General features: G+C 34.0%; 1 long non-coding RNA gene across 1 annotated transcript in view; it reads left to right on the forward strand.

Moving 5' to 3' along the window:
- The window catches only part of LINC00989 (long intergenic non-protein coding RNA 989), an 83,868-nt gene that overhangs the window by 11,634 nt on the left and 58,453 nt on the right, over positions 1-13,781 (forward strand). Inside the window, exon 3 of the long non-coding RNA NR_038826.1 lies at positions 9,559-9,676. This is a non-coding gene — a long non-coding RNA (long intergenic non-protein coding RNA 989). The remainder of the gene's footprint in view (positions 1-9,558; positions 9,677-13,781) is intronic.

Raw genomic sequence — 13,781 nt, forward strand, 5'->3', positions numbered from 1 at the left:
AATTCACTCCCAACTCCCCAAGCACAAGTACTTTTTATTTGGAATGTTTGAATTCGGTAAATTGAAGGGTTAAATATCCAACACATAGTTCCAGGAGAACATGTGTGCTCTAGACTGATAATTAACCATTTAATTGGTCTTCTCTCCTATCTACATTGTCCAATACTTCTAAATAGTAATTGAAATATAGAAAGTTTTCCCCACTTGGAACAGGCGATACATTCAGACATCATTCTGTTTTTATAATTTATGCACATTTTACATATAGCAAATGGAAAGAAACTCCGTCTTTCATGAATGTGTTATTGACATTAAATGTAAAAAAAAAAAAAAACCTCTAATTCAATTTGCCCACCAGTTGTAAGACATTGGGTACTCTATGTTCTTGCAAAAATAGAGCAGAAATCAAACTTTTTTATAGTTTGGCAATTTGGTGTCATTAGGGAATTATTAAATGATTTGGAGAGGTTCCCTCACATGTTTTACAAGTCATGGAGAGCTTTACCCTCCAATTTTATTTCTAATTTCTATTCCTGAGTGTCCCTTATTTCTCCCTTCTCCATCAGCTATGATCTCCTTCTCATGCTTTTACACATCTTACTTTCTGGTTACCTTCTTCATTGCTACACTCATTCTCAAAAAAATGTATAAGAGGAAAAACTTGTTGCATCCCACAGAACTAACTAAAAATGTTACTGAGGGTATTAAAGGCTATAGATCTAAGTCAAAAGTGTTAGTGTTTCCTAAGTAACTGTAACAGAATTTTTGCAGTGTCTGGGAACCAGAGATTTGCTTTCACCTTACAGTTTTTGTCAGTAGGCTAAAGACGCAGAATGAATTCAAAAGACACTTGAGAACAAATACTCTTATATAACCCCAAGACACATTTTAGTCTTTATTTTCAGACTGATGCCTTGAAAAATATCACTTCTGTTTTGAGTATATTTCTTAGGGCCAATTTTGCTAATTCATGTGTATTTATATTTGGGGGGTTATGGAGTGTGCATTTGAAACTCAAAATAGCATATCTCCTGGAAAAGAAGTGATGACTTCTTTCCAAAGAAAAGAAAATGGAGCCTGGCATTTTTTGCTTAAGGTCTATGACCCTAGACAGAAATTTATGTCAGTATCAAATGGCTGTAGTTCTCAAAGGCTTCCAAACTCCACCTTCCTTTTAGGAGAGACATTTTCAGTCTAAAATTAATTACTAAAATGTGAAACAAATCAAAAGACAAAACAAATCAGGCTGTTAAGACAAACATTAAAAATCAAATTATGCTCTCAAAATAGGCAATTTACAGCTTGGAAGGGTAATTGCCAAACCTGAAATGCATACAAACAGTTGAAATTACTGACTCAAGCTGTATATTACCTATTGGAGGGCATAATTTGACAATGACTCTTGCAAAAGGGTAGAGATTCTATCATTTTTCATGATTTAACAGCAAAATATGGTATAACACTCTGTCTAAGAGTCTGAAGGCGAATTAAATTGAAGAAAGAGCTTTAGCTGTAAGAGAAACGGGTGTTGAAGCTATATGTCAGGAAGAAGCATGGATTGGTTTTAAAGTTTTACAGTCCTGTGTTAAATGAACACTCTCTGCAGAGGCAACTACTGACCACAGTGTTTCAGGAAATCATTTAAATACTTTTAACTTGCTGGCTTTGGAAAGGAGGATAGGAAGTATTCAACTTGACAGTTGAGTGATCAAACGTGGTTTTTTTTGTTGTTGTTGTTTTCTATTATTATACTTTAAGTTCTAGGGTACATGTGCACAACCTGCAGGTTTGTTACATATGTATACATGTGCCATGTTGGTTTCCTGCACCCATTAACTCATCATTTACATTAGGTATTTCTCCTAATGCTATCCCTCCCCCGCCCCTAACCCCCTGACTGACCCCAGTGTGTGATGTTCTCCGCCCTGTGTCCAAGTGTTCTCATTGTTCAATTCCCACCTATGAGTGAGAACATGAGGTGTTTGGTGTTCTCTCTTTGTGATAATTTGCTCAGAATGATGGTTTCCACCTTCATCCATGTCCCTGCAAAGGACATGAACTCATCGTTTTTTATGGCTGCATAGGATTGTGAATAGTGCCGCAATAAACATACATGTGCATGTGTCTTTATAGTAGCATGATCATCTCAGACATAAAGTTCCCTGAACATTAACACATTTACTTACCAAATTTGATTTCAAATTCTAAAACAAAGAACTCATTATTTGCACTTGTGGAAATGTTCATATTGCCAGCATATTCTTTTGCACATTGGAAAAAAACAATCATTCACTTGAAATGGCAATATTTAGAATTTTGGTAGCAGTAATGTAGGGCAGGCGACAGTAGCCAAAGATGGCACAGAGGAAAATATTAAATGTCAGGAGAGGGACGAATCCCATGTGTCCCAGCTAGATTGTATTTTTTCCTGGGGCCATTCATCTATCCCCTCAGTCCTAGTTTATCACTATCTTCTAGCTGTTATGTTTCTTTCAACTGTATCATTTGGTACTCCCTTCTCAGGACAACCTCTCTGCCCTGCACTCAGATTTAGTCACATCTAGATTTTTTCAGTTTGGGCAATTAATATGCTTATGACCAATAAGGCTACAATTTCCATATATGCTTGACACAACCTATACCAGAACAGGGTTCTTTTATTTAACAGCTTTATTGAAGTATGGTTAACGTATAATAAATTACAGTACACAATTTGATAAGTTTTGACTAACGTTTTCACCTGTGAAACAATCACTACAATCAAGATAAGAAACATATCCATTACCTTCAGACATTCCCTAGTGTTCCTTTTAAGTCTTTCCTTTCCACCCACCCCCATTCTTTTTCCCTCTCCCCAGGGATCCACTGATATAACTTATGCTACTATAGATTATTTGCCTTTTCTATAGTTTTATGTAAATAGAACTATATAGTAGATGCTAAATGGAATCATATAGTAGATACTGAAGTTTCTCAGTTAGCATAATAATTTTAAGATTTATACATGTTGTGTGGATTAATTGTTCATTCCTTTTTATTATTAAGTATTAATAACATTTCATTGTATGAAAATACTAAAGTTTGTTCACTTGTTCACTTGTCAATAGATATTTGAATGGTTTCCAATTTTTGGCTCTTACAAATAAAACTCTTAATACTATGAACATTCACGTACTAGTCTTTCCATAAATATATGCTTTCTGTTGAGTTGGGAAAATATCTAGACTTGGATTATTTGGATAATATGGGGGTTATATTTTTCCTTTTTTTAGGAAACTGACAAACTGTTTTCCAAAGTAGTTTTACCATTTTACTTTCCTAGTAGCAATGTACGAAAGTTTTAGTTCTTCTGCACCTTCCCCAAGACATAATATGATCAGTCTTTATTTTAGCCACCCTCATTGGTGTGTAGCCGTATCTCATTATTGTTTTAATTTGCATTTTTCTGTTGATTAATCATGTGAACCTCTTTTTGTGTTCTTATTTGCCATTATTATATCTTTTTTAGTAAAGTGTCCATTTAAATCTTTTGCTTATTTTAATTGGGTTGTTTGCTTTTTCTTGTTGTGTTTAAGGGTTCTTTATGTACTTTGTATATATGTCTTTTATCAGATATATGCTTTGCAAATATCTTCTTTCAGTCTATGGCTTTTCATTTTCTTGAAGTTGCTTTGACAAGCAGAAGCTTTTAATTGCAATAAGATATAATATATCACTTTTAATTTTTAGAGGTCATTATTTTTGCATCATATTGAAAAAACTTTGCCTAATTCAGAGTCACAAAGATTTTTCGTTCAAGTTTTCTTCTCAAACTTTTATCATTTGCAGTTTTACATTTAGATCTATAATCCATTTTAGTTAATTTTTGTGTATGGTATGAGGCACAGTTTGAGGGCTTTTTATTTTTGCATATGGATGGCCAATTTTATCAACATTACTTCTGGAAAACACTATCCTTTCTCTCCTGAATTACCTTCATAACACTTCTTAACAACAACCCACAACCATAAAGCTATTCACTAAACAATGTTTGAATGATAGCATGAATAAATTCAGGAATCACATTACTCTACATATTTTAGTAAAGTGCAAAATATGTGTTTACAGGTCTCCTATGCAAGAATAAGATTACGTTAATCACCAAAGACTTTGATAAGTGTCCTTATAATCGGTACTTAGAAAATAGGATTTGTGAATAAGTAAATGAATAAATGAACAAACAAGTAGTTTACTAGAATGTGTAGATCACGTTTTTAGTTCTGTTGTTTAGGTCATTCATTCTTTTCTTTTATCTTCTTATAACTCTTGACTTCAAATAACACTTAGAGTTTATCAAGTTTTTCCACAGGGACTGAGAGTCCAGCTAGTTCACAGGATTTTACTGCTCTCCGCATAATTCAATTCCAGAAAGTTTAAGTCCCAGTTGCTAACAATGGCAAAATGTAAATCCGTGTCTATTTATTGATTTTTTTTCACCCTTCGTTGCTCACTTTCCCCATTCACTCACTTTTCCTGCCTGAATCAATCCCAAATAAAGTACCTGAATATAAGATCTGGTTTCCAAAAGTGCTATGGGGCAAACCCAAATGAAGGCATGGGTGAATTAGTGATATAATTCCTCTGAAAAGCTGCCAAACTCTGACCAAAGGGGATCCAAATATGGAGTTTTAATTTTTTGGTAAAAAGTTGAGCCCATAGAAACTTTTATGGATAAACTGAATAACCTAGTCTACTTCAATTTTTCAATATTAAATATAAGCAGAATTGAAGGTTGTTATGAAAACAATGATTATTAAATGTTTTATTTGTGTTGAACTTCTCTGTGAAGTTGTTCATAACACATTTTATACACCATACAATGGAAATTTGACTACCTAAAAACTTTAACATGTAGACAATAGCTTGAAACATACTCTTTGACCATCATATATGTTTAAATGCCTATAATATTAGTTCTAAATATTAAAATTCAAATCTTCATCATTCTTAAAATGGGTATTAAATAATCTAAAAAGCTTAGAACAAAATATTATTTGGTATAAAAAATGCTGTGTTATTTGCTTTATTTTCTTATCATTTCTGATTTATAGATAATATCTTGAATACATTTTATATGTATATATTTCACAAAAGCCAGGTCAAAAGAACATGAAAAGAATAGAATAAATGGTAATAGATAACTGATAGAGCACATTTAAATTACTTACGTGTGTAAAGTGCTGCTTTAATATGTAAAATCTATTGCACATCTTTTTAAAAAATTATGATTGATTTTGATGTCAATATTATAATTTCTATTTTGACTTCATTGGAAAGATGGGATTTGATTTCTTGTGCCCATCACTGTAATATAGAGATATCCCCAAACTGGAATTTCAACTTATCTTCACCCAGGTTCTTATGATTTAATTAGACTATTGATTTTTTTTTTTTTTTGGCTGTGAGTTTTGCTCATTATACATTATTCTCTGCTCGGTTAGATAATATTGTCAATGGTTTGTTCAGTCCTCAGTTTTTCCAATTATTTTTATGCACTTTGGGTTTAATCAATTAATTTTCCAAGCTGTAAATTATGCATTTTGAGATCATAATTTGTTTTTAATGTATGTCTTAACACCATGATTTGTTTCATGTTTGTAATTAATTTTGGGCTTTGAAAATAAAATTGCATGACAAATCATTATGGTAATGCCACTGCCGTAGACAGCAAAGCTGAAATTTCTCAGATAAGCAAATTTTCTTTTCATTTTGATTTGTTAAAAAAGTTTAAACAGTTAAAAATGAGTGATATTGAGTCATGGCATTCCAGGAAAATACCAAGCACATTTTCACATTAAAGCGGGACTACCAATATCTAAGTCATTGTAATACATGCTGTATCATTACCTATTACTGCATAACAAACCACTCTAAAACTTAGATCCTTAAAATAATAACAATGTATTACTTTTCACAAGTCTGTGGATCAGATGGACTTTTGTGTTGATCTGATCCAGGCCTGATTGATCTTGACTGGACCTGCCCATGCATTTATGTTTAGTTAGCAGGTCATCTAGGTGACTCTGTTTCTGGGAGTTGGCTGGTTGTTGGGTGGAGTGATAGTGCTACTGGACCACATTTCTCTTCACAACCAACAGGGTAGGCAGGGTTTGATTATATATGGTAGTTGTAGGGCTCCAAGGGCAAGAGTGGAATCACGGAAAACTCCTTGAAACCTAGGCTCAGAACTGGCAAATCCTTTTGACCACATTCTATTTGCCAAATCAAGTTACAAGATTCAATTCAAGAAATGGAGAAATAGAATTCTCTCGATGGGAGAAGTAGCAGAGACTCAAATTCAGGGAGAAGAGAATTGTGGCAATTTAAAAAATCTACTCTTTTCAAATAAATCTGATCTTTCAACTAATCTTTCAGTTTTCAAGCTTTTCACCATGATGAATATTATTTTCCTATCCTCCTCTCTCTATCTCATTCATAAAGTATATTTCCGAAAATATATATTTGGTGCATGCAGATGTATTATTATTACTCAATATTCCACAGGTCCTTATACTATTCAGCTGCTTATTTTTTCCTTGTAAAAATTATGGTGGTCAGAACAGTATAGAAAAAGAAAGTTTAAATAATTAAACTTTGTGTCCTGTTTGGTATTATAAATATATGTTACTATCTACTGTGGAAACCAAATCTGTTATAACATATAAATATATACTACTATCTACTGTGGAAATCAAAATCAAATTTGTCCCAGGTTGTCATATAAACCTGAAAGTCTAGTTTTAAATTTGTTCACTCTCTATTTAGGTTTCATTGATTCAAATCCTGACTCTCTCTGTTGGGCAAGTAGCTTATCTTTTTTGTGCCTGAATTTCCTCATCTGTAAATTAGAAATAATAATCGTACCTGCCTTATACTTTTGTTTTGAGGATTAAATGAGGTTAAATATGTAAAACACTTAAAACAGTCCCTAACATATAGAATTACTCAATACATAACAGATAATGTTTTGATTAACAACCAAATGTCCATAACTGGCTTTCAGTTGACCAGCTTTTATACTTTTTTTTTTTGGTCTCTGTTAGATCATGTAACTAATTTGGGGAGAAAATGTTTGGAATTCAGTAAACAGTACTGATTGGGAAAATTAAACTTGAAATGTTCAATTTATATTTCAAAATGGAAATAAAAAATTAAATAAAATTTGGTGCAACAGATATTTGACTATCTCTTGCTACGTTAGTCCTTCTGATAGATGCTGTGAGTATAAGGAAGAGTAAGACATGGTTCTAACAATAAAGTGCAAAGATTCCCTATAATCATCTTATCCCAGGCTACCATGTTGATGACAGTATTTTTTTAAGTGGCTCCTGGGCATATATCATGGTCAAATACAAACAACATTATTATTAATTATTTTTCTTCAATGGTTGCCAGTAGAGGAGAAAAATAACATTGTAAAATCTGGAATAAGTTGTGGTATGGGGGTTGGAGGTGAGCTATGTGTTAAACAAATTGCAAAAACCTTTTGAGTCCTCTGAGGAGTACCCTTTCAGATCTATGGAATACATCACAGTGAAGAGGAGGGATTTAGGGAGAGAAGAAAAACAGTTAAACAGTGGCAATTTTAAATGAATTGTCACCATTTAAAAAATCTGCTCTTTTCAAATAAGTCTGATCTCTCAACCAATCTTTCAGTTTTCAAACTTTCCACCATGATGAATATTATTTTCTCATCCTCTTCTCTCTGATTCATAAAGTGTATTTCTGAAAATAGGTATTTTGTACATGCAGATGTATGTATCATTATTGCTCAATATTTCAAAGGTCCCAATACTATTTAGCCACTTATTTTTCCCTTGTAAAAATTATGGTGCTCAGAACAGCATAGCACAAGAAGGACACAGTGAAAGAGAAAGGGAGTGAGAATAAGCACATACATTTGAGCTGTTGGGGAAGGGAGTAGAAGGAGTAATCATTGATAATGATGGTAAATTTCATCGTCTAGGATATGAATGAGAAAAATATGGTGTGCTGGCTTTTATATGTGTGTATGGAATATAGAAAAAGCCATAGAATATTTCCAAGAAAATCTAGGAGAGCAAAATTAAGGACTAATTAAAATGTGTTTTTCTAGACCAAGGAATAATTATTAAGAGCATTTTTTGAGATTTCTTCAACCTGTAAAACATTGACCCTCCCAGGTATTCATTTAATAATTGTTACTAACCATAACAACAATATGTATGTTATTAATGTAGTTAATTTATGAGACAATAAATTAAATTTCTATAGCAGCCCCTAGGTAACAAACCACATGCACATTATGTCATTTTGATACCAAGCCCAGGCTGTTTCCCAGTGGAGACTAGATTGAAAAGTCCTCAAAGAAAAAGCATCCATTTTCTTTCATATGGAGAAGTGGCCCTTTCCATCAAATCCAAGGACAAAATAAGCCCAAGAGGTAGAAACATAACACAAATATATATTATGTTTGATAATATTTAACCATTTCCCAAATATGTGAAGTCACTACATATATATATACATATATATATATATATATTTTTTTTTTTTTTTTGACAGAGTCTTGCTGTGTCACCAGGCTGGAGTGCAGTGGCACAATCTCGGCTCTCTGCAATCTCCGCCTCATGGGTTCAAGGGATTCCCCTGCCTTAGCCTCCCGAGTAGCTGGGACTACAGGCGTGCATCACCACGCCCGGCCAACTTTTCTGTATTTTAGTAGAGACAGGGTTTCACCATGTTGGCCAGGGTGATCTAGCTTTCCCGACCTCATGATCCGCCTGCTTGGCCTCCCAAAGTGCTGGGATTACAGGCGTGAACCACTGTGCATGGCCGATGTCACTATTTTTTAACAAACCCAATCACAGGCAGACAAAATATGAAATATTATACCCATTTCATTATGTGAAGAAATTGCAATGCATTTTTATTTCTATTTGTACTTTGTACTTACCCTATACTTTAAAAATAAAATCTAAGAAATAAAAATTGCATGAGAAAATAAACAATAATAAAATTTTTATTTAGTCATTTGCAAAATAATTGACTTTTTAGAGCTTTATTTAAATATCTTTGTTATTTTTAATGTAAAATTTTGATAGGTTATGTATTTGACTATTGGTAGCAGATTTGGGAACATTAGAAGGTGGTTTTTAATGAGATCGATATTATTATGTTAATACTCCCTAAGATTCCATTAGGAGAAGATTTAAAAATAGATAAGAAATACAAGGACGGGAGGAGAAGAATGGAGAGAAAAAGAGAGAGAGAGGGAGAGGATAGACATCTAATTCTAGCTCTTAGATGTACAATATATAGTTTTATTTTGATAAAATGCCATCTTTAGTACTCAATTTTTCCTTCAACAACAACCAAAGATAGTGTTCACTTTGCTATAATTCTCTCCACTTGCCTTATCTCTGTTATCTTTTTTCTACCACACATTTATGTTAGGCAGCTCAGACTAACTACAAAATAGAAATACATTTCTTAGCAGCTGTTACCATAATTCTAAAAATATACTTTTCTTTCTTACAGGATTTCAAACCTTCTGGGTTTCTTCCCAGCGCTAAATCCTGTCGACTGGATTCACTAGGATGAATAGAGAAAGAAGTGTTACATTTTAAGATAATTTCTTTTCTAAACACACAGAAAGGTAATAATTCTGGCATTTTACAAAGCATGTCAATTAGCTTTCTCAATGCTTTTTTTTTCAATTGTTTGCTCACCAGTTTTGTTTTAGTCTTTTGCTTTCTTGCATATTTAGTTTTTAATTATTGGGAGTCATGAACTCATTGGAAAGAGTACACTCAGAATTAGGGAGTTGGGTACATCTTTGCATGGGGCAAATATGAAAAACATGAACAGCAATGACACTTATGATTAGTGTGCTCTACAGTGAACTTCCTATCATGCTCCCAGGAAGGAGGCTTAGCCTCTCCTGGAGTTCAGTGTTATACTACCAAGTCTAGCACATTGCTTTGCTTTTCCAAAATAGCAAATGTCTTAGCACTTACCTAATGATGATCTAAGGAAAAGTACTAGGGAAATGGCATTATTCTGAAGACTTTGTTGACAGCTGCAAACCATAGGCTATGATAGCATTAGGGAAATGGCATTATTCTGAAGACTCTGTTGACAGCTGCAAACCATAGGCTATGACAGCATTGCGGGAAAGCAAGAGAAGACACACCTCTTCCCCCTTCTAACAGAAACCCCTCCCCCAACACACACACACACACACACACACACACACACACACACACACACACACACACACACACACACTCTGGCTATACCCATGGTATGTACCCTTATTTGAGTTCTGTTCATACTGGACATAAATAATTAGATTTTAGATAGTTGGCAGTTACACTCCTCTTCTCTAAAAAGATTTCTTTTTTCTTCTGCACTCCTCACCAGTTAATCTGAGCTCTTTTGTTCTGCTAAAGGAAGATAAGGAAAAAATATTTCTTAGTTCTATTTAATCACTGGCATGCCAGTATTGGAGCTACTGCTCCGTGGAGACTGCCAAAACCTCGACCTAGTTACTGCTCCTTTTTGTGGCATCTTACCATGCGGTTTGTGGCACTTTGGAACACAAATTCACAGTTACCAGAAGTTAGGTTTATCACTGTTGCAAAGCCACTGAGTTCTGATCCAGAATCTCACAAACTGGTACATGCCCACGCAGATCTAGCCTGTCCAGAAGATGAACAGGAGGAAAAACGCAATGCCAAGAAGGAAGCAACCGGGTCCTAATTAATCAGAAACAAATAAGTCATTTTAATAGTGATGTTGAAGGAGATAGAAATGTATTCTTATGAGAACCCTATGTTCCACCAGGATGACACTGTGAAATTATTCTACTGCCAGTTATTGTCACTAAGTTCTGGAATACTGGAAAACAAATGAGTCATTTGGAGTGTGTTCCTATTTTTTGTTTTTATATTTTAATGCACTTCAAGATGTAACACAGCTTCATGGTCTCCTTTTTTAAAAAAATTTTCCTTACACTTAATTCCAAAATGATCCTTGATTAGCAGATGGATAGATATGGAAACAACCACTTTATCTGTGGAAATCAGTTATAAAAAGTGATAAAATACACTCAACATCCCCAAAATTCAGAGTTTAAGATGAGGAAATCCTTACCATTGCCAAAAGGAAAAAAAGAAAAAAGAAAAAAGATTTGAGTGTTGCTAGGACCATTTCATTCAGTAAATGTTTATCAGGCATTTGCACTTTTCTACTTTTATTGCTCATTTGATTTCTGCTGCTTGAAATATTCTCCACTCACTGTCTTTCCCTGAAGACAAACCCAAATGTCACCTATGTTTGAAGCTTTCTTTAATTGCCTTTTTACCCTGAACCCATGAGCCCTTCATTCTCCCTTTACCAAAATTCTCTACCATTTATTATGTACAGGATTGTTTAACACATGTCTTAAAAACACATCCTGTGCTATCAGTTCGAAATCTCCACCTTTGAGAGTTAGGCTTGTCTTATTCATATTTGCATTGTTTGCAGTGCATTGAATCTAGTGGTGGCTCAAGAAAATATTATGTTCAATTTAAAAATAGGTGTTCTATTTCTAGTTTTGCAGCATCTTACTGAACACCAGCACACACTGAAAATAGATCACATATTTCCCTGGCAAACAATTTACGATTTGAATTTTCAATGAGTCCAGCGTTGATGGACTTGTGACAGGACATGTGATTATTTGGTGGATTCAGAATGAACCTATTAATAGCTTTTCAGATAATTCATCTAACGTGGCTGTAGGAGCTTCACAAAGTAATAAAGAAGTCGAGATTTCAGTTAAGAGAGTATCAGACAATATGACTCCTGATGGACTGGGCATACCAACTTCTAGGAAGCTTTAGCAGAGATTTCATTGCAAATGGTAGAGAGAGTTAGCCTCTCTCCTCTTTCCCTTCGCACTATGTCCTAGGATTGGTTGGTTTTTAAAATTCTTTGTCAGAGAACTCCTAACACTGAAACAAAATAGGTAACAATGTTAGAAAATTGCATGAGGGAAATCTAGAAATGCTGACCTTTCATTTGAGAGTAAAGCACCTGAATCAGCTTTCAGATTGTCGAAAAGAAAACACAGCTATTTCCAAAACAACTAAAAAAGTAAATTAAAAAAACTATATTTGGAGAAGAAAATAATAGAAATAATCTGGAATTAGAGAATTAAAAAGTATAGTATAAAAGAGCTTAAACTGAGCAAGTTTTATTTTTTCAAGATAAATGAATGATGGATCTTCTTTGGGATTTGATTGGTAGACATTTTTTGTGCGTTTCTGAAAATGGAGCTGTTCCATAAGACATGAATTGGTCTTCAATCTAATAACAATTTCTAACACTGAACAGAATCTAGGAATCACTTCTGTTTTGAAGTTTCTATAATATGTAAGAATTATGACAACAGTAATGCCAGGCTTACAAATAAATAGTTGTTAAATAATAAGATAAATATATTAAAATAAAAAGCATTTCAAAATAAGCTCTGTACTCTCTAAATATCCACACTGTATTATCACCTTATTATATTTATTTTTACATATTCATTTCTGCATTTATTTTTATAAATCAATGCTCCCATCTACATCTATATTTATCTATCTCTTTATATAGCATCCTCAAGACACAAGGCAGATGCCACGTTCCAGTATGTTTTATGGCACAAAAAGGTACTCAGTAAATGTTAAATTGAATAAGTAAATATTGAAAGATATTGAGCTTAGACAGGCATAAATATAGGATCACACTGAAGGTGAGCTATGTGAAAATGTATAAGTGAAATCTGAAGTGATGGTTTCAATTTTGCTAATAAATAATTTTACAGCAACAGTTTCTAAGGGATGTGAAAGGACAGTGCTTTACCTAGTATTATTTGCTGGCATGAGTGAAATACATTTTAAGAGAAAATTACATGGATGAAACTGTCAACTTTCTTTTTTTTGTATTTTATTATTATTATACTTTAATTTTAGAGTACATGTGCACAACTTGCAGGTTTGTTACATATGTATACATGTGCCATGTTGGTGTGCTGCACCCATTTAACTCATCATTTAGCATTAGGTATATCTCTTAATGCTATCCCTCCCCACTCCCCCCACCCCACAACAGTCCCCGGTGTGTGATGTTCCCCTTCCTGTGTCCATGTGTTCTCATTGTTCAATTCCCACCTATGAGTGAGAACATGCGGTGTTTGGTTTTTTTGTCCTTGCGATAGTTTGCTGAGAATGATGGTTTCCAGTTTCATCCATGTCCCTACAAAGGACATGAACTCATCATTTTTTATGGCTGCATAGTATTCCATGAAGCTATATGTATATGTATATGTGCCACATTTTCTTAATCCAGTCTATCGTTGTTGGACATTTAGGTTGGTTGCAAGTCCTTGCTATCATGAATAGTGCCGCTATAAACATATGTGTGCACGTGTCTTTATAGCAGCATGATTTATAATCCTTTGGTTATATACCCAGTAGTGGGATGGCTGGGTCAAATGATATTTCTAGTTCTAGATCCCTGAGGAATTGCCACACTGACTTCCACAATGGTTGAACTAGTTTACAGTCCCACCAACAGTGTAAAAGTGTCCCTATTTCTCCACATCCTCTCCAGCACCTGTTGTTTCCTGACTTTTTAATGATCGCCATTCTAACTGGTGTGAGATGGTATCTCATGGTGGTTTTGATTTGCATTTCTCTGATGGCCAGTGATGATGAGCATTTTTTCAT

The sequence above is a fragment of the Homo sapiens genome, chromosome 4, assembly GCF_000001405.40.
Source record: "Homo sapiens chromosome 4, GRCh38.p14 Primary Assembly".
NCBI lineage: Eukaryota > Metazoa > Chordata > Mammalia > Primates > Hominidae > Homo > Homo sapiens.